Below are 27928 nucleotides of genomic sequence, written 5' to 3'. Positions count from 1 at the left end.
TTTTTCCATAATGTTACATGGTTGGAAGCATGATTGGCTTTTTTCACTTAGTAATGTGCACTTACGGTTCCTCCATGCCTTCTACTGGCTTGATAGCTCATTTCTTTTTAGTCTTGAGTAATATTCTACTGCCAGGATGCACCATCATTTATTTAACCATTCGCTCACTGAAGGACATCTTGGTGGCCTACAAGTTTTGTCAATTATGAATAAAGCTGCTGTAAACATCCACATGCAGTTTTTTGTGTGAACACAAGTTTTTGGTTCACTTGGGTGAATACCAAAGGGCATGACTGATGAATCTTATGGTAAGGGTCTGTTTAGTTTTGTAAGAAACTGCCAAACTGTCTTCCAAAGCAGCTGTACTGTTTTGCACAGTCCCACGAAGCACTGATGAGAGTTCCTGTTTCTCCACATTCTCACCTACATTTTGTGTTGTTAAGTGTTTTGGATATTGGCCATTCTATGAGTTCTGTAGTGGCATCTCATCATTGTTTTAATTAGCAATTCCCTAATGACATATGTGGAGCATTTTTTCACATGCTTACTTGCCATCTGTATATCTTCCTTGGTGAAATGTCTGTTCGGGTCTTCTGCTTATTTTTGAATCAGATTTTTAATTTTCTAATTATTGATTTTTAAGAGTTCTTTGTATGCTTTGAATAACAGTCCTTTATCAGATATATATTTTTTCAAATATTTTTTCCCAGTCTGTGGCTTATTTTCTCATTCTCTTAACATTGCCTTTTACAGGGCAGAGGTTTAAATTTTAATGAATTCCAACTTCTCAATTATTTCTTTCACAGATTGTGCCTTTGGTGTTATATCTAGAAAGTCACTGCCATACTCAGGATCTTCTAGATATGATTCCATGTTATATTCTAGGAGTTTTATAGTTTTGTGTCTTATATTTAGATCTATTACCCATTTTTAGTTAATTATTGTGAAGGGTGCAAGGTTTGTGTGTGGACTCTTTTTTTTTTTTAATGTGGATGGCCAGTTGTTCTAGCACTGTTTGTTGAAAAAACTGTCTTTGCTCCTCTGTATTGCCTCTGTTCCTTTGTCAAAGATCAGTCAACTCTATTCATGTGGGTCTATTTCTGGGCTTTCTGTTCTGTTCCATTGATCTACTTGTCTATTTTTCACCCATACCACAGTGTCTTTATTATCATGGCTTTAGAGTTAGTCTTGAATCAGGTTGTGTCAATCCTCCAACTTTTTTCTTCTTCTTCAGTATTAAATTGACTATTCTGAGTCTTTGCCTCTCTCTGTAAACTTTAAAATCACTTTGTTGATATCCATAAAATAATTTGTTAATAGTTGCTAATAACCAATAATTTTGGCTGGGATTGCATTTAATCTATAGATGAAGTTGGAAAGAACTGATAACCTGACAATACCAAGGTTTCCTATCCACAAACATGGAATACTCTTCATTTATTTGGCTCTTCTTCGATTTCTTTCATCAGAGTTTTGTAGTTTTCTTCATATAGATCTTGTACATATGTTATTTGATTTATACTTATTTAGATTATAAGTATTTCATTTTGGGATATACCTTACCAATGTAAATGGTAGTGTGTTTTAAATTTCATATTCTACTTGTTCATTGCTGGTATATAGGAAAGTGATCGACTTTTGTATATTAACCTTATCCTGCAACCTCAGTATAATAGCTTATTAGTTACATGAGGTTTTTGTTTTTGTTGTTGATTCTTTTCAATTTTCTATACAGATAATCATGTCATCTGGAAACAAAAACAGCTTTATTTTTCCCTTCCCTATGTGTATACCTTTTATTTCCTTTTGTTGTCTCATTGCATTACCTAGGACTTCCAATATGATGTTGAAAAGGAGGAGTGAGAGGGGACATCCTTGCCTTGTACCTTAGTAGGAAAGCTTCTAGTTTCTCACCATTAAGTATGATGTTAGCTGGAGGATTTTTGTAGATGTTCTTTATCAAGGTGAGAAAATTCCCCTCTATTCCTTGTTTTTTGAGAGTTTTAATCACAACTGGGGGTTAGATTTTGTCAAATGCTTTTTCCACATCTGTTTATATGATTATATGATTTTTCTTCTTTAGCCTGTTGATGTGATGGGTTACATTAACTGATTTTCAAATGTTGGACCAGCCTTGCATAACTGGGATAAATCTCACTTGGTCATGGCTTATAATTCTTTTTATACGTTGTTGGACTCAATTTGCAAATACTTTGTTGAGAATTTTTGCATCTATGTTCATGAGAGATATTAGTCTGTAGTTTTCTTTTCTGATGTCTTTGTCTGGTTTTGGTATTAGGGTAATATTGGCCTCATAGAATGAGTTAGGAAATATTTCCTTTGTTCCTATCTTCTAGAAGAGATTGTAGAGAATTGATACATTTTCTTCCTTAAATATTTGTTAGAATTCACCAATCAGCCTATCTGAGCCTGGTGCTTTCTGTTTCGAAAGGATGTTATTGATTCAATTTCTGTAATAGACATAGGGCTATTAAGATTATCTATTTCTTCTTGTGCGAATTTTGGCAGATTATTTACTTTAAAGAATTGGTTCATTTCATGTAAGTTGTCAAATTTGTGGGCATAGAGGTGTTCATAATATTCCTTTATTATTGTTTTGATGTTTGTGTGATCTGTAGTTGATTCAGAGTATTTTTTTTTAATTTCTCAAGATTTCTTTTTTGACCTATGTTATTTAGGAGTGTTGTTTAATCTCCAAGTATTTTGGGATTTTCTTGCTATCTCCTTGTTATTGATTTTTAGTTTGATTCCATTGTGCTTTGAGAGCAGACATTGTATGATTTTTATTATTTTGCTTTTGTTAAGTATGTTTAATGACTCAGAATGTGGCCTATCTTGGTGAACGTCCCATGTGGGTTTGAGAAAAATACGATATCTGCTCTTGTTGGATGAGTAGCCTACAGATGTCAATTACATCCAGTTAATTGATAGTGTCATTGAGTTCAGCTATGCCTTGACTGACTTTCTGCCTGCTGGATCTGTCCATTTCTGGTAGAGGGGTGTTAAGGCCTCCAAGTGTAACAGTTGACTGATGTATTCCTCCTTGCATTTATATCATTTTTTGTCTTCTGTATGTTGACCCTCGGTTGTTAGGTGCACACACATTAAGGATTGTTATGTTTTCTTGGAGTATTGACACCTTTGTTATTATGTAATATCCATCCTTATCCCTAACAATGTTCCTTAAGTCTGCTCTGTCTGAAATCAATGTAGCTACTCTCACTTTCTTTTGGTTCTTGTTAGCATGGTTTTTAAATGTTTAAATCCAATTTAAACCCTGTTCCCCATTTAAAGCCTGACTGAGGCGGATTTGTGACCCACCTAGACAAGCTTTAAAGAGACTAATCCTGGTAATCATAAGATTTATTTCTAACATAACTACAGAGTCTCTTTGTTAAGTAACCTCTACAGACAACCAGGGACCTAATTTTCTGAGAAGCACACACTTTGGGAAATGCTGATCTACACCTATCCTTCATTTTACCAACAAGGGTGCTTATGCTCAAATTAGCCACTGAGCCAGCACTAGAAGCCTTAGGTCACACATAAGGAAGGTGGTGGACCCTTGCGGCAAGAGAGGCCAGTATACACATCTTCCTGAAAGAGCTGAGCAGAAGAGGTTGGATGCCTGACTCAGATCTTCAGGCCAAGCTATGTTGGGGCCCAGGGATTCTCTGTCCCCACTGGAGGCCTGAGAGTTGCCCATCTCAGCTGTGGGCATCTGCTTCACCATAATCACTGTAGCAAAGAGGCTTTTGCTGAAATGCCTGTGACTTGAAGTCAAATGCCTATTCTGGGGGCCTTACAGAGCTGACTGGACTCTGGGCTTCCAGCCAGTGTCCCCTGCTGATGGCCCATTTGTTTCAAGGTCCTTCCATTTTTCTGGTAGCTGGAAACCTCAGTCATTTTGAGTTCTTCTCTCCCTCCCTTGTCCCCAGACACTGTTGAGTCACTCATCATTTTTGTCTTGAGCTTACTTGGTGACCTGCCTGGGTGCTGGGGCCATGGGGACAAATCAGCACCCAGTTGGAGTGAGATGCAGGTGCTCAGGCTGCTCCTCCGCCCAGCCCCTTCTCCCCTCAATCCAGGATCCAGTGGAGTCTGGACTTTGCCTCTGGCCTCCTCCACTCTGATATAGCTCACTCAGCAAAGCCAGGCTGATGCCTACAGATATCAACACACTCAATCTCTGCTCAAGAGTCTCCCGCACTCGGCTGCTGACTGCCTCGGGCATATGTCAGGCCACTCTATGAGGGCAGGGACCTTGTTTCTTCATGGACACCATTACATCCCCAGGACCTGACACAGAGCCTGAGGTCACGTAGGTGTGTGGTGAATATTTGCAGAAAGAATGGGATGAAGGTGGCACTTGAAGTCCCTCATCATCTGACCCTCTTGACTCTGTTGGCTTCATTTCCCAAGACCCTCTATGGGCTTCCTCTGCTGGCAGACTTACTGAGGGCAGAGGGGCACTGGTTCCTGCTTCGGGTCAGCACTATCTGGGAAAGGTTTGCACTGGTGGTTTACAGATGGAGAAGGAAACGCTGAGGGGAGTTCAGTGACCCACCCAGTGAGCACTGGTGAGTGACAGAACAGGAACGTGTATAACTCACTTGTATATGTCACCTTCTCACTTCATCCCCAGGACCACTTGAGAGGGGCTGTGAGTGCCCCATTCGTTACACAGGTGAAGGCACAGAGCCAGGGGGTGGCAGCCCTGACCCATGGTCCCCCAGCCAGCTGCAATTAGAGCCCTGATGGCTGCCTGCAGATCCCCTGCCTTCCTGATGACTTCTCGTCCCACTGTGGGGATGGAGGGCGAAGAAGACACAGAGGCCACATACTGGAGACAGGCAGGGACCCTGCCCTAGAAGCTGAGGTCTGATGAGAGGCTCACAGCAGCCGTGGATAGTTTGTCTTCTTTATTCTTAATCTGGGGAAGGCGAGTCTCACTTCCTGGGCACCTATTATGCATCTGGTCCCTGATTTCAGGAGTCCCTTAGCTTGGGGGGTGAGTGGGTAAAGTGTTGGACTAGATACTAACTCCCAGCAGCAGAGCCCTGTGAGCTCCAGCACACTGCAGAGCAGAGAGGAGGGAGGGCATCAGGATCCTTGGGGCATAATCCTGGTGTTTTGGTTTCTCATAGCGCTGTCATAAATTACTGCAAATTTGCTAGCTTAACAAAACACAAATGTATTCTCTTACAGTTCTGGAGCCAGAAATGTGGAGTCAGTTGCACTGGGCTAAAGTCAAGGTGTTGGCCAGGCTGGTTTCCTGGGGAAGCTCACAGAGAAAACCCATTTCCTGGCCTTTTTCTGGCTTCCAGCCACCTGGACGCCTTGGCTCATGGCCCCTTCCAGGTGTCACTCCAGCCTCTGACTCATCATCATGTTTCCCCCTCTTCTGTAGCAAAATCTCTGTCTTCCTCTTATGAAGACACTTCTGATGACATTTAGAACCCACCTGGATAATCTAGGATAATGTCTCCCAATCTCAGGATCCTGAATTTAATCACATCTGCAAAGGCCCTTTGTCATCTAAGGGAACACTCACAGGTTCCATTGTGAGGGCCATTATTCAGTCTACCACATCTGGACTCATCACTTCCTAACTGGGTGAATCATTTCACCTCTTAGAGCCTCAGTTTCCTCCAGTGTAAAATGGAGATAATAATCCCAATTGCAAAAGGGCTGTGGCTTTAAAGATTACATGGGACGATGTGAGCAAGTTACATTGCATTATGTGGAATATTGGTTTTAATCACAGCACTGGAATTCAACTCTCCCAGGTTTACCCTTAGCCCTCAGCCCTCCCTAGCTGGGTTTGATGCAGACACAAGCAGTTTTCACAGGAGCACAAGTTTAACAAATAGAGTGGGATGGTGCTTGAAGTGAATCTCCTTCCAGATTCCCCGCATCTGTCCTTTACTCCCGGCTATGGGGCATGGGAGCGCTGGCCTGCAGGTCTGAGGCTTTGCTTTGGCGATGGTGACGATGTTTCGAAAGCAGAACTGGGGGCTGATGGAGGCACCGTGCTGCTCCCACAGTTACTCAGTGAACTGAGACCCTCTAATGATTGTGTACTGGGAGAGGGCCCAGTCCATCGGCTTCCACAGCCACTGGGCAGCTGTGACGCTGGAGATGAGTGTGAAGCTCCTTGCTGGCACTGTGTGCACAGTCGGTGCTCACTACATGCCAACTCCCTCTCCTTTGCCTTCCAGGTCCCCCTGCTTCTGGTAGGCAGCTGCAGAAGGTGAAGATGCAGCACTGAGGAGGCAGGAGGAGGGCTGACCACCAGCTCCCGGCATGTCCCCAGCACCAAGTGGCCCAGAGAGAGCCCAGGATGCGCACGCAGGTGGATGCTCCGCGTGCTGCCCTAGCGGGTGCCTCAGGACCCTTTGACATTTCAGTACCAGAAATCAAATGTCGCTTCAGAAGCCCGGCCCTCCAAAGATGTCACAATCCAACCTCCCACACGCACAGGTAATTGGAGTCTAAACCTGGTTCCCGCTGGCTGAAACCTTGATGTGAGGTGATGGGTGGGAGAAAGGTGATGGGAAGGGCGACAGAGCCGGGGGTGGGTGACATGGCTGGGTGAGATGCCGTGAGTTTGGAAATGGCCGAGGCTGCATGCCACCGAGGACGAGGGCCTTCTGAGCATCCAGGCAGGACTAGCGAGGTCCCGGGAAGCTCCCTGCACTCCTCCATCCCATGCCAGTAGGTCTCAGCCATTCGAAGCTGCCAGGAGCAGCTCTTTGAAGCCAATGTCGTAGATCGTGGGGAGATGCCTCCCTTGGAGCAGGCAGCCCAGTGCAAGCTACATGCACAGACAATGGAGCCGGTTCCTGGCCAGATGGTACCTGGAAGCCGCCACCCCTTTGCCTCCCCCAACCAAGGCTAGGGCCCTTTCCAGACCCAGAGAAGCCTCTTTGGGGACAGAAGTCCACGCATGAAAGTCCACCCCAGCAGAGGGTTGAGAGGCAATGAATCAATTGTGTCTTACTGTGGCGGCTTTTGCTCCCAAACTGCCAAGTGTGTCATCACACAACCCTCCCGACTGCTGGAGCATGACTTACCTGCAAGAGAAAACACAGATGGGGATGACGGCCACCTTCCCCTGGGACCAGCATGGCCTCTGGGACTGGGCCCGAGCAGCCCCTCATGCTGAGGAAGAGGCAGGCTCTGAAAAGGCTTCCCCCAGCAGAGCAGAGCCAGGTAGGGCTGCTGCATGACTCTCTTCATACCTTAACCTTGAACAAGTCAATAGCCTGGGAGAAATGTGATGAGGCACAGAGGTGGGGTCTGGGAAAGAGGCTCTTCCCAAGGACCCAGAGTGATGGGGAAGCCATGCCCATAAGCCAGCGGGCAGAGGGTCCCAAAGTGCCACGAGCATGAAGGTGTGTCTAGAGGCAATCAGAGATGTTGCTTTCTGTGTTGAGAGGTGGGGACCGCCTCTGCTTGAATCTTTTCCTTGGGGAAGGGAACAGCAGCAGCCAAAACATATTCTTTCTACTTAGCAACCAGGGGATTTGTGATTCGTTGGATTTTTTAGCCCTCTGCATAACTGCAAGCCAAAAGGAATTAGCAGCTCTGGGGTGGAGTTTTGGTTCCTCTTTAAGCAACGATGCTTCCACCTGCCCATTCACTGTGCATCAGAAGGAAGCAGAGGAGTCGATTCTGTTTATCCCATGCCAAGCCTGCCTTCTGTGAGGTGTCCCCCCTTGCAAGATGTTTCCAAGATTTACAGTTCTCCAGACAAGAAGGCGTGTTGGGGACTCGGGCAAGGGCCGAGGATCTTAAATACTGACACTTCTTCCTGAATATACATGAACATGCCTGGCACACACTGAGAGATTTTAGTAAACATGGCTTGTCCACCCCTCCTTATGTTCCCTCCTGGCTAAGTGTATATCCTCAGTGTGTGTTTGGAGGGATGGACGCTGTTCTGTGCTCAAAAGCCTGAAGTACCGGTTAAACAAATTTCATTGCATTTTTTTCCTCGAAATGCTTCATTTTAACCCAGCTCTGGATATTGGCCTATGTAATTTGGGACCACCATCATCTGGGGCACACAGCCCAAACCAAAGGCTGATATTCACCTGCAATTCAAGATGGCGGCTCCAGGTGCAAACTTGTGAGATTTAATCAGGGCTTTTGCAGGCCCTGCTGATGTCTTTCTAGCACGGGGCTGGGTTGAACAGGTTTCTTCCCTGCGTGCCCTACTCACAATGTTGATATACTAATGTGCATTGTGACTCTCTACTGCCTACCACTTCCTAGCCACGGGACCACTGTCCCTGTCTCAGGAGTTGGGAACAATATTCACAGCAGCTCTGGTTCTCACATCAGCTCCTTGGGAGTCACCGTTGGACCTCCCTGTTCCCCAGCTCTGTGGCAAATCTGTCACCAAGTCCTGTTGATTCTACTTCCTAAGTCTCTCTGGAAGCCACTGCCACTCTCACAGAGCAGGCTGTTGTCACCTATGGGTCTGAAGGGTGGTGCTCCATGGTTCCACTTGGGCCATGAAGTGGCAGCCATGGGGTGATATTGGCAGAACAAGAAGGCAGAAGGAGCCCAGGTTCTTCCTGATTTCTTGAAGCTGCTGTACCAGCCCTTTAGGCACCACTTTTTGCCTTCTTTTATGTGTGAAAGAAATCAACTTCTCTGTGATGCAAAATAATGTTTTTGTCAGGGGGAGGGAGTTGATCATACACAGCTGAACCGCATCCAACTGAGTCACTACGTCAGAGCAGGCAATCTGACCTGTGAGCAGTGCTACACCTGGGAGAGCAATCATGACTTTTCAATTACAAAGTGATGGGGGCAGGGGGAGACAGGAGGAGAGGAAGGTTCCAAGGGCCACGGGGACGTGGGAGGGAAATTATCCTTGAAACCACAGGTGGTCCAGCAGTTGCTGGGTATGGATATTCACCTGTATTACAAGGAACAACCTTATGAATCTGGCCCTGTGGTCATCTCCATTCTATGAAGGAGAACAGCGCGTTTGGAGGGATGAAGTAACTCACCAAGGTCACGCAGTCCTGCAGAGCCAGGATCCCAACCCAGGAAGTCCTCAGAGCCGGCCCTCGCCACCGACTCCCTGGAGGTATGTCCATTTCACTCAAATACCCAACAGATTGAGGGTTTAAATGTAATATGCCCATTTTTTGAGACGTCCGTTCTGTTCAGAGTTTGATATCTTATTTTATAAAGTGGAGGTGATCGTGGAGCCAGTCTCAGGGCTGGGTGTTGTGGGGGCGTGGATGAGGTGAGGCGGGTGAACACGGTATTTGCGCTCAGTAATTGCTGGGCTGCCTGTAACTCTAAGCAGAGTCGAATGTCATTCTGGAGGGGAAATTAAAGATGATCTAAGCAGAAGGCATTTCGTTTATTATTATTATTATTGCTAATCATCATCAGCAGCTGTAGTGGCCAGACAGCCTTGGGTCAGTGTCATGGGGAAGCTTGTGAAGAAATAGAGCAAGGCTGCTGCAGGTGCGGCAGAGGTGTTCCGCCCCGGAGGACCCTTGCTCGCCCTCCTCTTTGTGTGTCTGCTCCTGCTGCGGAGGAATTGGGGCTCCTAGGGTGGAGACACCGGCCTCTCCCCTAGGCCTGGGCCTCTGGGTCTTCCCCAGGCTGCTGCTGCCCTCTGCTGGTCATAGCTGGAATTAATGGACATTGCCTCCCAGGGATGCAGGAAGCCCGGAGATTCGGGAGAGGAGGAGGGTTCCCCTGAGGCTTCCTCTGTCGTTGTAGTGTGGGCAATGGCCACATGACTTGTTAGGAGCTGAAGGAAGACACCACTTTATGTGGGGGACTGGCTGCCCCCAAGAGCAATGCAACACACAGGGTTGCCTTGGACGCTTGGCCCGGGTAGAGAGGAGGAGGGAGGTCTAACGAAGAGCAGGGAGGCTGAGGACAACCTCACTATCACCTGTAAGTGACACACCTATCCCCCTGAGAGGCATCAATTATTGCTGTAGTCTTCAGAGACTGCCACTCAGAATGGTAAAATAATTTCTTATTCCATTGCGGTCAAGACCTTAGACTATGGGGTCAAATTGTATGCATTTGAGACTCAGACCTTGTGTGACCTTGGGTAAGTTACTTAACTTTCAGAGCACACTCTTCTCACTGAGAACTGGGGATGCTGCAGGGCATACAGAGGTGACTGAGAGGACTCCATGAGCTACGATGCAGGCAGGAGGCCAGCACGTGCCTGGCAGGGGGCAAAGCTGAAGACCACCGAGCAAAGGCAACTGCTGCCCAAGACACACCTGGCAAGCGGTGGCAGGGACTGGAACCTGGCCTGGCTGCCTCCTCCTACTAAGGGTGGATCTCCTTGAGCAGGCTGTTGAGGCTTGGGCTAAGGTCAGAGGTGGGGTTGTCCTTCTCTGAAATGCAGACTATCAATCTGGCAATGCCAGGCCCTCTTGCTGGCATCTCAAACCTTGCTTAAAATCCAGGCCTTGGAGATCTTGGAACATCCCCACCCCCCACCCCCCAGACACACCCCTTTTTGGGCACCTCTCACTTCTCTGCTTTAAGCTGAACTGGGAGGGTGGAGAATGACAAATCTTTCCCCTGGAGTCCCCACACCACTTTATCTGACATTCATTTATTCAGCAAATATCGACTGCATGCCTCTTCTGGGCCCAGCACCATTCTAAGGGTGGAGAAGAAGCAGATAGTCTGCTTCTTCTAGTCGGCCTGCCCCAGCATCGCTCACATGTATTTCAGTAGGGGAGAGAAGGAAATACATAAACCAAGGCCCCACAGAGTCTGTTATGTAGCGCGAACAGGAGGAGCAGGAGGGCAGGGAAGGAGAGGAGAGTTGTTATCTGGAAGAGGCGGCCAGGAAAGCCTCACTAAAGGAAAATGAGCCTCGTGGGTGTCTGCAGGAAGAGTGCTCCAGGCAGTGGGAACAGCCTGAGCAAAGGCCTTGAGGCAGGTGTGTGTGTGCCACGTTTATGGGATGGAGCCGTCAGATCTGAGGGAATAGAGCAGAGGGACAGAGGGAGGAGCTGAGGTGTGGGTGGGAGTGTTTGGAGTGTGCTAGCTGCTGCCCTTTGCTCTGAGTTGAGACAGAAGGCATTGGAGGGGTTCTGTGCAGAGGCGTGTACAGCACCCCTTTGTCTGCTGGTTGAAGAATGGACTCAAAGAGTGGGGGCCAGGGCAGAAGCAGGGAAGCTGGTGAGGAGGGGTGCGGTGGTCATTTGGATGGAGTGGCCACTTCCCAGTGAGAAAGCCTGGCCAGACACTCGGGGTCTGAGGAGAAGGGGGAGCAGGGGTGGGTAGAGGGTGTCAAGGGCCGTGGTTCTGGGCCTGTGGGACTCTAAGGGGCTGGGAAGTGCTTGGAAAGGACAATCCACCATCCCCCTTGGTTCACATATGCAGGGTACGCCTGGAATCGATGCTGTTGTCATAAAGATGACATTTCTGATGGAAGGCTGCTGATTGGCTGTCTATTTTGAATGCACGCATGCTTTCATTCAGTGGACTCTGACCACCGTCCTGTTGGTGATGGGGATGGGTTGGGGGTGGGGCCAACCCACTGTGGACTTGGAGGTGGATTTTGGATTCAGACAGCCTGGTTTGCAGGCCTGGCTCCACCACTTAGAAGCCATGACCTTGAGGAGGTTGTTTCACACCCCTAAGCCTCTGCTTATCCATCTGCAAATTGGGAATTACAGGACCTGCCTTTATTGGGTGGTCAGTAATGTGGGTAGAGCACTTCGTATGTAGGAGATATTTACAGGAGGTGCTCAGTAAATGCTTGCTCTCACCTCATTTTCTGACCCCCACCTTGAGCCCCCTAAAAGCTGGTTTCTATGCTTGTTTTACACTGGCTTGCTGTGCGATCTTGGGGGAACTATTTGTCTCTTGGGTCCATCCCTCTCCTGAGAAACAGGGATAAGTCCAGGATGGAAAATACCTGCTCAGAGGGCTCGGATCAGGAAGCGTGGCCGTGTCATATTGATTGAGCCATTGATGAGGTCTCTGCATGCAGTAGGTGCTCAATCAATATTCTCCTTGAGGATAGATCACTGCTGCTGGCATGAGAAGGCAGGCCTGGGATAGTGCCTCCTGGTTCCAGCCTCGGGCCCCTCCTCGGCCACCCCCCTGTGATAGAGCACTGACCTTCAGAGCTGTTGGCCCGCCACCCTCTGCCTTCTGCCTCCTGCCTCCACTGTCCCTGTGTGCCTTTCTGCCCCCCTCAGGGCTCAGCTCTGCTCTGCTCTTCTCTTTCGACTCTCATTCCCCTGGTGAACCCATCTAGCGTCACAGCTTTAAACGCTGTCTCTACGCCAATGACGCCACAATTCCTGTCTCTGGCTAGGCTTTCCCCCCAACTCCAGACTCCTATTTCCAGCTGACTTCCTGACATTTCCGCTTCACTGTCTAATACAACAAACTCTCAGAATTAATAAAATGAGACTCCAGATATTTCCTCCCAACTGGTCTGTCTTCCCCAGGTGGGTGTTGAGGGAGTCTCCAAAATGTCACATCGGAGTCACATCTGGGAGAACTTGCCTGTCTCATGCCCATACCCAGCCCACTGGCAAGTCCTGTTGGCTTGACCTTCAAAATATACCCAGGGCCTGGCCACTGCCTGCCACTGCCACCTGCACCTCCCGGCCTGTGTCTGGGCACTGGCAGCCCCTGCCTGGCCTCCTGCCTGTTTTCTCTGCCTGCCATGGTCTAGCCCATCAGCGTGGCCCAGCATCCCTTTTATACATCCAAGGCAGAAGACTGTCCCCTTCCACTCCATACCCTCCAATAGCTCCTAATTTCCTTTCAGAATAAAAACAGAGCCTTGCAAAGATACTTATCTTGGCTGGAGACAAAACCTGAAACAAGACAGAAACTGGACCTGCCCCCTTGTCCCTTACAGTGCAGGGAGGCTGATAGAGACAGCAGTGATAAACCTTTAGCAATAAATGAAAGTTTAACTAAGCTATACTAACTCTAGGGTTAGTATACAGCTACATGCACAGGGCTTCAGGTTGTGATGTAAACAGGAAATAAACAGCAACATGCACAGGGCTTCAGGTTGTGATGGTTCTGTGATGACTGCTGACTTGGGTGGAGAGCTACCTTGGACAGGGGAGTGAGGGAAGGCATCTCTGAGGGGGTAACATGTAAGATAACAAAGAGATTCAGAACTGAAAGAGACTCTTAGAACATCTACTTTAAAAGGTCTTCTTGGCCGGGCGTGATGGCTCACTCCTGTAATCTCAACACTTTGGGAGGCCGAGGCAGGCAGATCACTTGAGGTCAGGTGTTTGAGACAAGCCTGGCCAACAAGATGAAACCCCGTCTCTACTAAAAATACAAAAATTAGCTGGGTGTGGTGGTGGGTGCCTGTAATTTCAGCTAGTCAGGAGGTTGAGGCACAAGAATTGCCTTAGCCCGGAAGGCGGAGATTGCGGTGAGTGGAGATCGCACCACTGCCCTCCAGCCTGGGTGACAAAGCGAGTCTCTGTCTCAAAAATAAATAAATAAATAATAAATAAAAGATTTTCTTATTACATTTATATATGGAAGCAAGAGAAGCCCAGAGAGGTGAAGTGACCTGGCTGAGGCCACACAGCATATTACTTACAGAGCTGGAATTCCAGGCAGTCCTCTTGACAATCTAGTTTGTGATTTAAGGGTTGCCAGCCTGGAGCTGCAATTCCTAACAGCAATGCCTGGGAATGCTATGAGCTATTAATCTCCTCTTACATATAAACAAATTGCAAAATGTATCATATTAATGATGACCTTTCTCTTTTTGGCTTTCAGGACACATCTGCCTGGCCTTCCTCTTGCTTCAGTGGTTTCCCATCCCAGTCTTTGCTGGTCCTTCCTAATCTGCCAACCTCTTACCATTGAAGAGCCTGGGGCTCGGGACTCAATGCTCTTTTCTTCCCTCTTTACACACACACACTCCCTGGGAGAGCTCATGTCGTTTTGTGGATTTCCGTGCCAATGACTCCAAAATTCTATCTCTTGCCAGGATCTCTCTTTTGAATGCCAGCCTCAAACATCCAGTTGCCTACTTTGGTGCTACTCGAAGTGTGGTTCTCAGTCTGGCAGCATTGGCATCACTTGGGAAGCTGTTGGAAATGTAGAACCTTGGGCCCCATGTTGGGCCTATTGAATCATTTTGGGCCTATTGCAACTCAGGGGTGCAGGGGTGGGCGTGGCACCCATCCATCCGGTTTAACAAGCTCTCCAGGGGACTGAATGGATGCTGGAGTTTAGGAAGCATTTTATTCCTTGCCCTCTCCACTTAGATATCTCCCAGCCATCTCAAACTTAACAAGTCCGAACATAAGTTCCCGATATTTCCTCACTCTACCAGCCTTCTCCATCTAAGTTAGTGGTGACTCCATCTGGTTATCTGCTCAGACCAATAACCCTGCTCAGACCAATAACCCTGCAGTCATTCCGGAGTCTCTGTCTCACCTCAACTTTGGTCTGTCAACAAATCCCGCTGGCTCCATTTTCACAACACCCGCAGAACCACATCCCTCTCACCACTGGCACTGCCACTAACCTGGCCAGAGCCGCAGCATCTCCCACTAGATTCTTGTAGAAGCCTCTTGGGCGCTTTTCACACTCTGCCCTTGGCCCTGACAGTCTACCCCAGCACAGCAGCCAGAGGGATTAAAATGTCATCAGCTCTTGTTTCTGCCCCAAGCTCTCCAATGGCTCTCCTTCTCGTGCAGCATAAAAGCCACAACCCTTATCCAGACGCACAGCCACACCCCGCCCCGCCCCATCCCCCCTCCGCCCCGCCCCCCGCCCCCCCCTCCGTCCCCCCCTCCGCCCCCCCGCCCCCTCGCCCCCTCCTCCGCCCCGCCCCCTCCTTCCGCCCACCGCCATCTCTCTGACCTCTCCTCTCCTCTTAGTTCTCTGTCCCTGGCCTTTTAGCTCATTCTGAAACATTCCTGGAACACATCCAGGCACATTCCTCTGCACTGGCTGATTCTTCATTTTCCATCCTGGAAAGCCTCTGCGTTTCTTTTGCCTCCTGCTTGGGTCTGCCATAGGCCTCTGCACTGGCTGATTCTTCTTCCTGAAAAGCTCTCCTCCCAGACATCTGCATATCCAGTCCCCAACTTCAGGTCTTACTCCAAGCCACTTCTCAGTGAGGCCCCCTGACTACCTCAGTCACTTAATTTTTAAAATTTGCTCCTATGACTAGCTGCCCTGCTCATTTTCCTCATCTTCTGTGTTGTCCATGTGTTTGGTAGAATGTCCGCTCTCGCTCTCGCGGTCCCCTCCTCCCCTGACCAGCGTCCTCCTCCCACTTCGGAGGGTCCCGCTCCGCCTGTCTTACCTCTTCTGGACGCCAGGTGGCGCCCCACACCGCCCAAGCCCCTGGCCGCCTCCATCCTTGCTGGAGAGACCCCGAGAATGCCTGGGGAAGGCGTGACCCTCGCAACCCCCTTCCCTCTGCTCTCCCCCTGCTCAAAGGAGGATGTCCTTTCTGACCACCAAAGCGGATGTTTCCTCTGAGACCCAGGAATTCACAATTATTCCTCGGGGAGAAGGGAGGGAAATGGCCTCTTCCAGGTTCAACCCGTGCTCAAGCCCCAACCCACCCCCACGCGAGGGAACGCTGTGCAGGACCTGCTGCCTGCTGGGTGCGTGCTGGGTGCTTTTACATGGTTGTCCCATGGAACCCTCAGCACAGCATTAGCGTTCCCACTTACAGATGAAGAAACTCAGGTTCAGAGAGGCCAGGTTGCTTGCCTGAGGTCACACAGCTGGTTAAGTGCAGAACTGGGATTCTAGCCTGACTCAGAGCCAGGGCTCTTCCACTTATTAAATGTCCCCCCAGAGAAGGCACAGCAGGAGGCTGGCCCATCTTTGGGCATCACATTTTAGGAATCGAGGAAGGGAGCTGACACTGGTTTGTGCTGGTCTCTTTCATTTACCGCCCACATCCCTGGCGGTAAGAATGTGCAAACGGCCCAGAGAGGTTGTGGTGCTTGCCCAGGGCCACGCAGCAGAGCCGCGCTGCTCCTCCTCATCTCCCGCCTCTGTTGGTTCGCCCTGGCCTAGGGAGGCAGAGTGCTCTGCAGCCCCTGCCAAAGGAGGCTGCTTCTCTGCAAAGGATTCTTCAAAAGCCTTGCAAGGAAGCGCCAGGGGGCAGTGGTGAAGGCTGGAGGAGAATCTTCTGGGGGAAAAAGATACAAGATTTGAGGCGAGAATCCTAATTACAGGAAGACTAATAGCCTGTCAATCCACGTGGCGTTGGTGGGACAGGGCTTGATTCCAGGGGCATCTGGGGTTTTCTGAGGGTCTCTCTTGCTCGCTCGCCTGGGTATTCATTTTCCCTCGCCTCTTGGAGGCAGAAGCAAAGGCTCCGAGAGCCTTGATTCAGATGCGTGTTTTTCTGCTCCCCAACTCCAGCTGAGCCTGGCCTGGGGACTGGGCAGGAGGACAGAGGACAGGCACGAAGGTCCTCTGTGGCCGGCGAGGACTCAGAGCTGAGCGGCCTCAAGCGTGGGCCCCTTTAGCTCCCCCTGTCTGTGGCAAATCGTCCTGGACACCAAAGACAGCCGGGAAGGGGAGGTCCACCCCTGACCAGTTGGGAATGTCCCTGTGAAGGGGCGGGATTTGGACCTATGGCTTGCTGTCATGAAGGCAGCTGCCAGTATGTGCCAGTGCACATACCATCTGGGGCTGTTGTCGGCGCTACTCTTTCCCCTGGTCAGGACTGGCCCAGGTCTCTAGTGGGGGCAGCACGTGGCCTTGGGGAGCCCAGAGGCCCCTGGGAGAGAAGCCCTAGGGGACCTGGGAGTCTCAGCTCCAGTGGATGGCATCTGGAGGGGAGGAGATTTGAGGGGTTGTGCCCCCATCACAAAGAGACTTTCCTGGCATCCATTCATGATGAGCAATGACAAATACATAAGCCAGCAGTCTGGGGCCTGGTGGCTCTGTGCTGTGGAAGACAGCTTCCCTTCTGTGCAGGAGACAATTCTGTGTGTTTCTAAAATTCCATTCGGGAAAGCCCCTGCGTTTCTTTTGCCTCCTGCTCTCCTGCTTGGGTCTGGAGCTGCTTTCAAAAAGCGTTTGAAATGGAGAATGGCAGAGTCCAGTCACCAGTGCTCAGAATTGCTCTTGGTTCCTGAAGCCCCTTCCTGGGGCAGTGGTACCATGTGTGTGGACAGCAGCTGCACCCTCAGCCTTTCCTGAGCACCTACTATGTGCCAGGCATGGTGCTTGGGCTCTCACACACATTCTTTGGTTTTCTGCCCACAGCTGTCCTGGGAGGTAGGAATTCTAACACCCATTTCACAGATGACATAACTACCTATCTAGGGGGCTGGGCAGTTAGGACAACAGCCCCTACACACTGGAAGTTCTCTCTCTTGTACCAGGCAATTTCGCAGCCATTGTTTTGTGAAGCTGAGTGATTGTCCCCATTCATAGAGGAGGGAACAGAAGCTCAGAGAAGGAAGTCATCTGGTTGGAGTCACCTGACCAAGTTCACACACTGAGTCATTGACAATCTGTACTCAAGCCTCGTACCCTTATTCCTAACCTAGTGTTCCCTCCACTGTCCCGTGCTGACAGCTGTTATCAGTTGCTTATGCCCTGGTGTGACTGGGGAAGGAGGTAGCTTTGGAGATGCTCTTATCTGCACGCTGCACTCATCAGAAAGTCTCCCTCTGAGCCTCAGTTTCTGGACCTGGAAGATAGGGGTGATGCTGTACTCTGGAATTAGACCTTCAAGACACAGTCATGCAATCTGTTTCTTTCCTCCCATTCCTCCCCACCAGGCATTTCCCTGTGGATGGAGAGGCTGTGATTGCTCCCTTGGGGTACAATTGTTTACCAGTAGATTCCCTGACCCCTGGTCTTGATGTTCTCACCTGTGCTGTGCCCATTCACATCCTCTGCCTAGAGTACCCTTTCTCTTTCCCAGGATCCTCTCTCTCCTTTGTTTTGAAACATACAGTGGCTCCAAGTTAGGCAGTAAGGCCCTTTCATCTGCCCTCCCCCAAGTCCTGATGGACGCCTCTGGGCTCCAGCGACATAACGACACACTCGACCCCCTACTCATCTGTACGTCCCAGCCCAAATGCTGCCTTTTTGGAGAGTCTTCCCTGGTTCCCTGGCCCACCCTGGGCAGAAGTCATTGAGTTCATTGCTCTTGTTCACTGGCACACAGTAGGAACAATGAATGCATGTTGCTGGAGTCGGAGCACTCAGTACATTAAGTCATCGGTGCTGCCCACTTGGCTGCCTAATGCATCCATCCATCCATCCGTCCATTTATTCACTAAGTAAATATTGATTGAGTTTTATAACATATCAGGTCCTGTATCTAACCTTTTTGTCTGACATGGTGGGGAAAGACTGTGCCTAGATCTTCTCTGTATCCCTCGAGTTGGCATCTGGCCCCTCAAAATTGTCAGGGACCTTTTACCTAATAGTCACCAGGGACTCAGTCCTGCTCTTTGCTGGAGGAGCCCAGCTACCCCGGCCCCCACCCCCTCACCCCAGGCCCAGCCTGGTGCAGGGAGACGGGATGGGCAATGTTGCCAACTGTTCAGCACTTGCCTGCCTTGCCCGCCTCAGCCCCAGCCCCATCAAGAGGAACAGGTCCAAGTCCCTGCCTTAGGATGGGCTGGATGGAGTAGGGTTAATTTCCTTCTGCACAATTCACATTGTTTCTAGAGAATCTTGTGTGGTGGTTGCCCTTTTTCAGGTTCAGGGTTAATTCATTTCACTCATATGTCTGGGCATGCATTTGGTGCCCTTACTAGATGCTGCGTGCTGGGGATGTGGTGGGGATGGGTGCTGGTGCCGGGGTTGTGGAGGTGAAGGTGGCCCAGAGAGGAGGGCGTCAGGGCCAGGCCTGAATGCTGATGCCACCCTGCAGGGGGAGGGGGCAGACTTTCTAGGGAGGGACCAGCAAAGGCCCAAGATGGGACCCAGCTCAATCTAACTGAGCACCTGGAGAAAGGACAGTGTGCTGGGGTGGGGTGGGGGACCCAGGCATCCCAGCTAGCACCTCTGGCCTGCCTGAGACCCCTCCTCTCTGCTTCTGCAGGCCTTGGCCCCAGGGCTGGTTGGTTGCTGACCAACTCCATCAGGGCTTGGCTGTCCGGGACCCCTCTAAGGGTGGAGCAGGTCCTGGGGGAGGAGTCCCTTGGCCTGCTGAGTTGCTGTCTTAGCCTATCCGATCATTTACTCTTTCCTTCTAACCTTGACGTAGGACCTTGGCCAGGAGGTCCCTGCATGAACAATGCCCCTGCCCATGGCTCACCTTGTCGGAATCCTCAGGCCCTACCTGCACCCCGTCCCTTACAGCCCCCTACATCTCTGTCTGATGAGGACTGAGAGTCTGTCTCCCAGAGTGGTGAGCTTAGGCAGCTGGGCTAGCATGAGATCGATGCGTATGTCAGGGGCGAAGGAGGGAACAGATGTTTTCTGAACAGCAAATCCATAGATGTGCGAGGTGGGAGTGGAGGGCGGGAGGACAGAATGATTTTGCATTTCAGGGTCAGCCTGTGGCATGATAGATGGAGAGGCTCAGTGGGGCTGACGAGGCACAGGGTGGGCTTGTGGCCAGCGCTGACCTCAGTGCTGCAGACTGCAGGCCTGGATGGAGGAAAGGAGATTTTCTGTCTGACCCTCATGCACGGCCAGAGCTCCCCTCAGGGGGCTGGGGGCCAAAGCTGCAACACTTGCTCAGAAACTCCAAACATGAACCCTGCAAATTAACCTTGAGCTGCCCTCGAGTGCAGCAGCTCCCCTGCCAGAAGCGCGTGCACTGCAGCGTTGTGTGTCAATATTCATGTATTGACGGGTGTCTTCGCAGGACAACCAGGCCTGCAGTGAGATCATTCAATCATGCCTTCAGAGCCCAGACCCCAGGCATAGTGAGTACCCCATGCTGCGGTTTATGACAGGTACCAAGGCCGCCTTCTGGATCACATATTTTATTACATTTTTTCCCCAAACCAGTGTTCCTAGCAGATTCCTCACTGGGGCTTGTAGGGCACAATATGATTATGGCCAGAAACGCACACACACACACACGCCCTTTGGAGTTAGAGAGATGAAGTTGAAATTCTGACTTTAACACTTATTGTTATGTGATTCTGAGAATTTCCACCACTCCGAGCCTCAGTGTCCCCAGTTGTCATAATGGCCAAGATTCACTGTGAGTGTGGGCTGTTGTGAGGATGAGATGCCATGATTTCTATAAAGCAAGTCAGGCTGGGGGTAGCCATGGGAGGTGGTTCGCCTGACCTTTGGTGATGGAGGTGGCTGTGTGTGCCTGGGAGAAGGGCGGGGAAAAGCTGGCTACCGGCTGTGGTTAATAGACTGCTTGAGAAGTTGCTAGGCCCAATAGTCTCAGCGCCCAGGCCACACGCTACCCTGAAGACCTCTTTGGCTGCATTCTTATCTTCCAATGCTGTCTCTGTCACTTCGTCTCTGAATTCCCAGAGGCGGGAATTCCCCACTCACTTCTCTGCAAAGCAGGAGCAGAAGGAAGAGGGGTCCAGGCTCCCAGTCCTGACACCTATGAGATTAGCTCAGGCCTGGCGCTGGGGGATGAAGGCATTTTGGTTAAAAGTTTTGACATTTACTAGAGAGAGAGGTCACCCGATATTCTCATGCTGCTGATACGTTTCTTTGGGGTCCCTGGAGCTTTGGGATCAAGGGGAGCCCCAAGCCCCTCTCCTCTTCAGCCCTGTCCCTCGAAGCAGGAGCAGTTCCCCAGTCTGGGCCCTGGTGGGCTGAGAGGGTGGGGGTAGATGGGGACTCCCACCTTGGCTCCTACAAGCCTCAGCCTTTTTATTTGTCACCCAGGGAGGGCTAAATGCCACAGGTTGGCTCAAAACAGATCTTGCAAGGGCTGTCTTCAAGCCAAACAGCCATTGTGACCTTTGCCAGATGCCTGGGGGTCACCCATGAGCCATCTCAGGCACTCCGCATCTGTGGGGTCAGCCAGGGTCCTGAGCAGTGGCCGGTGGCCCTGGAGCCTTGTTGTTTTCTTGGGACTGGCCCTGTCCTTAGCTCCATGCCAGCACAGCTGGGCACTGTGGGAAGCATCAGCTCTGGGAACCAGGGCAGCCTGGGACATTCTTGCCCCGGCATTGGCAGGTGTGGGGTCAGGCAAACCAGGGTGCTGGTCCTGGTGAGGGAAGCCCTTGGGGCTTGCTGCAGGCAGAGGACATCTCATTGAAAGAGCCCAAGATGCAGAGGGAACTCTCTCAGTTACCAGGTACATTATTTATTTATTTTTCCTCATGTTGTTTGGGGCCAAGAACAGCTTTGCCCCAGGTTCTATTTTTTGAGAGCCACTGAGTGAATGGTGAGGGGCTGCGGAGAATGGCCAGAGACCCAGCTCCTGTTCCCAAAAGCAGAGTGCTCCCTGCAAAGTCCAAGACAAGAAGAGAAAAAACGTGGGGGAGGGATGCATCGTCAGAGCCACGGCCCCCACTGGCCCCCAGGAAAGACACGGATGCTGGCCCCACTGAACACCGGCCAGGGCTACCGCTGCAGGCACAGTCCCATCTCCCTGTCCCTGTCTGTCTGTGTCACCAGCTGTCACACTTGCCAGGCCTCAGGTGCCTGCTCTCAGCTCAGCCGCAAGAGAGCCTGGGAAGTGAGCATCTGGCCTTCTGGGCTTCTTGAGAAGGCCTGCTGCCCACCCAGGCTCATAAGCTGAGGGGATTTCTCAGACCTAGTAGGGGTTTTTAAATGCTGAAGTAGCCCATCCCAATCCCCTCCAGAAGACAAATGTCACAACACGCAACTTGTGCGGCAGCCTCACTGCAGCATTCACCCAGCCTCGGCTGTGGCCCGGACAGCTCCAGCTTCTACTCCTTCTGGGGCAGCACTCGGGCAATGAGACCTGGGGGCCAGGTCCTGGGGCCCCGGAGTCAGCAGCCTCTTCTCCACACCTGGTCACCCTTGGAGTAATGTCTCTGCCCCTGGTCCAGCATAATTATTAGCTGGGATTATGCAACTCCTTGTCAACTTCAAAGAGTCAGCCCAGACCATCCCTCCTAGTAGCACATACTCCTTCCTAGTCGGTGTCCAGGCGTACTGGCTGGAGCAGTGACACCTGCTCACGGTGCCATGGGAGGGGGGCAGACTGCCTTCCCCACCCCCATTAGAAAGCTAGCACACTCTCGTTAGAAAAGCCAAGATACTGGAGTCTGCAAGTCCTGGATTGAATCCAGCCTTAGCACCTAACAGCTGGGGAGCCTTGGACAAGTGACTGAATATTCCTGAGCTTCAGTTTCCATTTGCTGGGTGCAGATGCTCCTACCTGCATGACAACGTTAGTGCAAGGGTTAAAGCCAGTAATGATTAGAGCATGCGTGGCACAGGCCTGGCATGCATACAGTTGTTCTACATAGCAGCTACAGGCATGATCATATCCCTCCTCTGCTTCAAACCTTCCAGCACCTTCCAAACTCCTTCCCATCACCTGCAAGGCCCTGCAGGGTCTGGTTCCAGCCTCCTCTCCAACCTTATCCCACGCCACTCACCTCATCGCTCAGTATACTTTGGGCCTCTTTAGTTTTGCTAAGCCCAGTGAGGTTGTTCCCACTTGGGGTTCTGCCTTGCCTGCAATGCCCATCCCCCAGGTCACTGCTCAGTGGCTCTGTCTTGTCGCAGTCTCACCTCACTCGCTGGGTCCAAAGCAGCATCATCTGCCCAGTCCCCATCCCACTTAATCTCTAAGCATCATGTTTTACCGCGTTTCTAACACTTTGCACTCCTGAAATCATCCTAACAGCAGGTGGAACCAGACACCCTGCTGCCTCTGGGTTTTGACTAAAGCTTGCAACCTGGGGATAATGAATGGGAAGTAGCTGGGCAGCCCTGTATTCTGAATAGAGCTGTTGGGTGCTTGTAAGACTAGCCGAGGGAAAGTGGGATTGATTTTGTGACCACCGCCCCATCCCAGATATGTCAGTGAAAGCTAGAAATTTCCAAGGAAATTGGTGGGAGTGCATTCAGAGGAGTAGATAGCACTGTGAATTTTTCTCCTTCCCTTCCATAGAGGGGCGCCCCCGCAGGTCACAGCCCAGCGATGGGGAGCCGGAGATGAGGGTGCCCATGAGAAGGGGATGCTGGTAGCTTACGCCGCAGCCAGGGGTCCTGAGCTGCAGACGTGTAGTGCAGCCACAGGCCCGATGCTTGGTGACAGAGCTCTTGTATTCTTGGGGCTTGGGGTTGTCTGGGAACACAGAGACTGGAAAATCCAGGAGGCAGCCTCAGGTACCAACTAGAGAGAAGGTAGCTGCACACGTGTGCACACGTGTGCCCTGTGGGAGCACAAGGGTTTGTGACTTTCCTGCGGCCACGTGGGCTCTGAAGAAGGTGAGCAGGTTTAAGGGGCTTGGGTGAGATGCCCTCCCCTCAGTACCCAGAGGGCTGCTGCTGGGACCAGAGGACCAGAGTAGAAAGAGGCTCTGAATGGGGTGGCTGGGGACATGGGATGTTCATCAAAACTCAGCTCACGAGGGCATCCATCTGCAATAGACTGGAAGAGAGCCCTCTCTGCTATAGTGCCCCAGGGAAGAGCCTGCATCTGGATGACCATGTGCCATGCTGGAGAACATTCCAGTCAGCCCATGTTGGCCAACAGAAAGTCACCAACAGGCCCAGCTAAGACAGAAGACCCTGCCTCTACTCTGCCAATCCTCCTCCTGCCCTGGGCCAGGGTAAGGATGGTGAGGAAGGAAAGGAGAGTGAGGAAGCCAGCTGCGCTTTTCTCCCCTTCTCCCCCACTCCCCTCCCCTCTCCTCCCCTCCCCTCTCCCCCCCCACCTCCCCGGTCTCCTTTCCTCTCCTCCCCTCCCCTCTCCTCTCCTCCCCTCCACACAAGAACTGAGGCACCAAGACAGGTCTGAGCTCACGGGCAGGCGAAACGTTTAAACTGCGTGTGAGATTGACATTTTAATTGGATGGGACTTTCCAATGCTTGAAAACTGAAATTATTATTGTGATGAGAACCGAAGTGATCAGAAATATAGGAGAATAGCCAGAGATGTTGTAAAATGATTGTAAAATGGAGAGGAAGGAAAACGAGAGAATACAGTTAAAGATAGAGTTTGGAGAAAGGAAGGTGTTTGTTGTTTGTACCCCTTCGTCAGTCAATCAATTGGTTACCTTCTGCTTCACTTAGTTGTTAATTCATTTCCTTCCTCCTCACCTCCACTTGACTCTAAGCTCAGCAAGATCAGAGACTGTTCCTTTTTTCAAGGTCTCTGCTGTATCCCCTGCACCTAGAATGGCTACTGGAGAATGGCACATAGTAGATGCTCAATAAATATGGTTTGGATTAGTGAAAGAACAACAAAATAGGTGCTCAAATGTGTTGATTTATGGGTATGACCTATTTGATTATGCTGTTCGAATCTTTTATTTTGTACTCGAGGAATGAGTTTGCCCTGGTTAAAGTAGCCCAGAAAACCTGGGCCCGGGAGCTGAGAGGACCAGGGGATGGATTGCCCAGGTCAGGGCATCAGGCCAGGGCCACTATTTCCCAGACACGGGGCCACTGGAGGCAGGGAGCATAGAGCCTCAGGGAGTCGGTTCCTTGGGGCTGGCTGGGCGTGGAGTGAAGGCTGGGCCTGGCCTCAGTTCTGGGACACAGGTGTGGCTGAGCTCCTGCTGAGAATAGATTTGGAAGGGCTGGAGGCTCAGGGCCCCCAATGTAAGACCTCCCAGTGTCCAAATGAGAACCTTTTCCTGAGTACTTGGGCCCCGCACTTGACATCATGTGCGTTAGTCTTCAGGCCACCAGAAGGGGGCAGCGCCGTCACGCCATTTTGCAGAGCCTTGATAAGCCCATTTGGAGTTCAGCCCCTCCCGCCATCCTCACTATCCCTTTTCGTCCCAGACTTCTTTACCTGAAACTTCATGAAGCACTTTTCGCATCGGTTTCGTCTGAGGGGAGAGGTTGGGGAAAGGAGGGTGTATTTGCCTCTTAGGGTCACCATAACAAAGTATCACAGGCTGGGGTGGTTTAAGACAGGGGTCCCCGGGCAGGTCGTGGTGGCTCACGCCTGTAATCCCAGCACTTTGGGAGGCTGAGGTGGGCGGATCACTTGAGGTCGGGAGTTCAAGACCAGCCTGACCAACATGGAGAAACCCCATCTCTACTAAAAATACAAAAATTAGCCAGGTATGGTGGCGGGTGCCTGTAATCCCAGCTACTTGGGAGGCTGAGGGAGGAGAATGGCTTGAACCCAGGAGGCGGAGGTTGAAGAGTCGAGATCGTGCCATTGCACTCCAGCCTGGGCAACAAGAGCGAAACTCCATCTCAAAAAAAAGAAAAAAAAAAAGACAGGGGTCGCCAATCCCCTGGGCCACGGATGGGTCTGTGGCCTGTTAGGACCCCGGCTGCACAGCAGGTGAGCTGGCGAGCAAGCATTACCGCCTGAGCTCCGCTCCTGTCAGATCAGCCGCCGCATTAGGTTCTCATAGGAGCATGAACCCTATTGCGAACTGCGCATGCGAAGGATCTAGGTTGCTCACTCCTTATGAGAATCTAACTAATGCTAATGCCTGATGATCAGAGGCGGAACAGTTTCATCCTGAAACCATCTCCCACCCCACACACCCTGTCCGTGGAAAAATTGTCTTCCACTGAACCAAAACCGGTTTCTGGTGCCAAAAGGGTTGGGGACCACTGGTTTAAAGCAACAGCTACTTATCCCTTCCCAGCTCTGGAGGCTGGGAGTCTGAAGTCAGGGTGTCAGCAGGGCTGTGCTCCCTCCAAAGGCTCTAGGAAAACCCTTCCTAGGCTTCCCTGGCTTCTGGTGGCCCCAGACACTCCTTAGCCTCGCGCTGCATCCCACTAACCTCTGCCTGTCTTTGCACACAGCCTTCTTCACTGCCTCTCTGTATCCACTCTTTTTTTTTTTTTTTTTGAGACAGAGTCTCACGCTTGTCACCTAGGCTGGAGTGCAGTGGCGCGATCTCGGCTCACTGCAACCTCTGCCTCCTGGGTTCAAGCAATTCTCTTGCCTCAGCCTCCCGAGTAGCTGGGATTATGGGTGCTCACCACCACACCCAGCTAATTTTTGTATTTTTAGTAGAGACGGGGTTTCACCATGTTGGCCAGGCTGGTCTTGAACTCCTAACCTCAAGTGATCTGCCTGCCTCAGCCTCCCAAAGTGCTGGGATTACAGGCGTGAGCTACTGGCCCCGGCCTGTATCCCTTCTTTTTATAAGGACATCAGTCACTGGATTTCGGATAGACCCCAAATCCAAGATGATTTCATCTTGAGACCCATAACTGAATTAAACTTGCAAAGATGCTATTTCTGAAAAAGGTCACATTTGAAGGTTCTGAGTGAATATGAATTTGGGAAGGACGCGGCTCCACCCACCACAGACGGAATCTTGATTGAGAACACATTTTGCTCCAGGGACCGTGCAAAGCACCTTCATCCTTGACAAACTGGAAGGGAAGCAGTATTATTTCCAGTTTTGTTGTTTTCTAGACAAGGAAAGTGAGGCTCAAAGGGATTCAATGACTTGCTGCAAGTCACACGGCTGCTTGCAAGGGGAACTGGGACTGGAACTCAGGACAGCAGACTCCACACGTCTCTATACTGGCTTATGAGCAGCTTGAGGACAGAGGTTTTGGTCTTCGTCGTTCCATCTCTCTTCTCCTCTCATTTCTGGGCCTAGTGCTCTGCATACTGATGGCTTTGAAAACTGATAAAAAGAAGGGAATAAGGCCAGGTGCAGTGGCTCACAGTTGTAATCCCAGCACTTTGGGAGTCCAAGGCGGGAGGATCACTCAAGCCTAGGAATTTGAAACCAGCCTGGGCAACACAGTGAGACCCTGTCTCTACAAAAAATTGAAAAATTAGCTAGGCGTGGTGGCATGTGCCTGTGGCTCTAGCTACTTGGGAGGCTGAAGTGGGAGTCACTTGAGCCCAGGAGTTTAAGGCTGCAGTGAGCTATGATGGTGCCAGTGCACTCCAGCCTGGGTGACAGAGCAATAAATCAATACATAAATAAAAATAAAAATAATAAAGAGGAGTATGACTGACCTGCAGAGATTCAAGTGCTGACCCTCATGGCTGCTGGGGTGCTCACAGATCTCCCCCACACCACACTCTGTGGGGACAAGTGAGAATGCCCTCTCTTACTACCTTGCTGCATCTGCTCCACTGAGGAACGTTGCAGCCCCTATAATCTTAGATCTACACTAGCCCTGGAAAGCAGGAAGGGCAGCCATAATGATGATAAAAATCTCAACCACAGCTGCCATTGATCAAATGCCTACTGGCCTACAGGGTCTAGGCCAGACTGTTTCTATGCCTAATGTCTTGGAATCTCCAGGGCAGCCCAGCTAGGTGACCCTTAGTATCCCCATTTTGCAGATGGGAAAATCGAGGCTCAGAGAAAAGAGTGTGACTTTGGGAGCTTGGAAGAAGTTGAGCTAGGATTCTGGCCTGAGTCTCCCTGAGTCTGGAGTTGGTGTTCTTTCTGGGGCCTATCTTGCTTTTTCTCCAGCTTCCCTGCCACAGCTTCCCAGTGTGACCAGTGATGGACACCTCTAACACATAGCAGACTCCCTCAGTAAAGGGAGGAGATGGAAGGATCCTGGAAGCAGAGCATACAGGCTGTCAGTCAAGAGGATACCTGCATCCTTGGGGAGGGCCCTCATGCCTCTTTGAGCTTTAAATGATTTAAGAGGGGGCAGAAGTCATTTCCTGGAGATCCAATTAAGGCAAATGAATTTGCATCTCCTAAATCGGCTCACAAAAATCTTGACATGCTCCCAGTGGATTTGGGGGTGAGTTTAGGAGGGTTGAATACCCAAAGAAGATTTTTTAAATTAGTCAAGATGCTTTTTGTTTTATTTCTCCAAAAATTCAACCTGATACGGCTTTAAAAATAGAGAG

The 27928-nt window shown here is 50.6% G+C and overlaps 1 protein-coding gene and 1 long non-coding RNA gene across 7 annotated transcripts in view, besides 9 other annotated features; one reads left to right on the top strand and one right to left on the bottom strand.

Annotated features, from left to right (window-relative positions):
* Positions 1 to 9401, top strand: part of KCNIP1-AS1 (KCNIP1 antisense RNA 1) — a 42313-nt gene extending 32912 nt beyond the window's left edge. The window contains exons 5-6 of the long non-coding RNA NR_136214.1: positions 6414 to 6504; positions 9013 to 9401. This is a non-coding gene — a long non-coding RNA (KCNIP1 antisense RNA 1). The remainder of the gene's footprint in view (positions 1 to 6413; positions 6505 to 9012) is intronic.
* KCNIP1 (potassium voltage-gated channel interacting protein 1) overlaps positions 1 to 27928 on the bottom strand; it is a 383146-nt gene that overhangs the window by 88074 nt on the left and 267144 nt on the right. The gene's annotated exons all lie outside the window — the stretch shown is intronic.
* Positions 8465 to 9258: an enhancer, noted in NCBI's record as "H3K4me1 hESC enhancer chr5:170066305-170067098 (GRCh37/hg19 assembly coordinates)". NCBI's record gives its function as "activates a minimal SCP1, AML or CMV promoter by ChIP-STARR-seq in primed H9 embryonic stem cells {active_cell/tissue: H9 hESC(primed)}" and the evidence as "EXISTENCE:reporter gene assay evidence [ECO:0000049][PMID:30033119]".
* Positions 9259 to 10054: an enhancer, noted in NCBI's record as "H3K4me1 hESC enhancer chr5:170065509-170066304 (GRCh37/hg19 assembly coordinates)". NCBI's record gives its function as "activates a minimal SCP1, AML or CMV promoter by ChIP-STARR-seq in primed H9 embryonic stem cells {active_cell/tissue: H9 hESC(primed)}" and the evidence as "EXISTENCE:reporter gene assay evidence [ECO:0000049][PMID:30033119]".
* Positions 11705 to 12454: an enhancer, noted in NCBI's record as "H3K27ac-H3K4me1 hESC enhancer chr5:170063109-170063858 (GRCh37/hg19 assembly coordinates)". NCBI's record gives its function as "activates a minimal SCP1, AML or CMV promoter by ChIP-STARR-seq in primed H9 embryonic stem cells {active_cell/tissue: H9 hESC(primed)}" and the evidence as "EXISTENCE:reporter gene assay evidence [ECO:0000049][PMID:30033119]".
* Positions 15224 to 15805: an enhancer, noted in NCBI's record as "H3K27ac-H3K4me1 hESC enhancer chr5:170059758-170060339 (GRCh37/hg19 assembly coordinates)". NCBI's record gives its function as "activates a minimal SCP1, AML or CMV promoter by ChIP-STARR-seq in primed H9 embryonic stem cells {active_cell/tissue: H9 hESC(primed)}" and the evidence as "EXISTENCE:reporter gene assay evidence [ECO:0000049][PMID:30033119]".
* Positions 15270 to 15449: an enhancer, noted in NCBI's record as "active region_23612". NCBI's record gives its function as "activates an Ori minimal core promoter by ATAC-STARR-seq in GM12878 lymphoblastoid cells {active_cell/tissue: GM12878}" and the evidence as "EXISTENCE:reporter gene assay evidence [ECO:0000049][PMID:35858748]".
* Positions 20482 to 20982: an enhancer, noted in NCBI's record as "H3K4me1 hESC enhancer chr5:170054581-170055081 (GRCh37/hg19 assembly coordinates)". NCBI's record gives its function as "activates a minimal SCP1, AML or CMV promoter by ChIP-STARR-seq in primed H9 embryonic stem cells {active_cell/tissue: H9 hESC(primed)}" and the evidence as "EXISTENCE:reporter gene assay evidence [ECO:0000049][PMID:30033119]".
* Positions 20983 to 21483: an enhancer, noted in NCBI's record as "H3K4me1 hESC enhancer chr5:170054080-170054580 (GRCh37/hg19 assembly coordinates)". NCBI's record gives its function as "activates a minimal SCP1, AML or CMV promoter by ChIP-STARR-seq in naive H9 embryonic stem cells {active_cell/tissue: H9 hESC(naive)}" and the evidence as "EXISTENCE:reporter gene assay evidence [ECO:0000049][PMID:30033119]".
* Positions 22717 to 23216: an enhancer, noted in NCBI's record as "H3K4me1 hESC enhancer chr5:170052347-170052846 (GRCh37/hg19 assembly coordinates)". NCBI's record gives its function as "activates a minimal SCP1, AML or CMV promoter by ChIP-STARR-seq in primed H9 embryonic stem cells {active_cell/tissue: H9 hESC(primed)}" and the evidence as "EXISTENCE:reporter gene assay evidence [ECO:0000049][PMID:30033119]".
* Positions 24700 to 24994: an enhancer, noted in NCBI's record as "tiled region #9502; K562 Activating DNase unmatched - State 12:CtcfO". NCBI's record gives its function as "activates a minimal TATA promoter and a strong SV40 promoter by Sharpr-MPRA in K562 cells {active_cell/tissue: K562}" and the evidence as "EXISTENCE:reporter gene assay evidence [ECO:0000049][PMID:27701403]".

Source organism: Homo sapiens, chromosome 5 (assembly GCF_000001405.40).
Source record: "Homo sapiens chromosome 5, GRCh38.p14 Primary Assembly".
Taxonomy (NCBI): Eukaryota; Metazoa; Chordata; class Mammalia; order Primates; family Hominidae; genus Homo; species Homo sapiens.
This window is presented reverse-complemented; position numbering and strand designations above follow the sequence as displayed.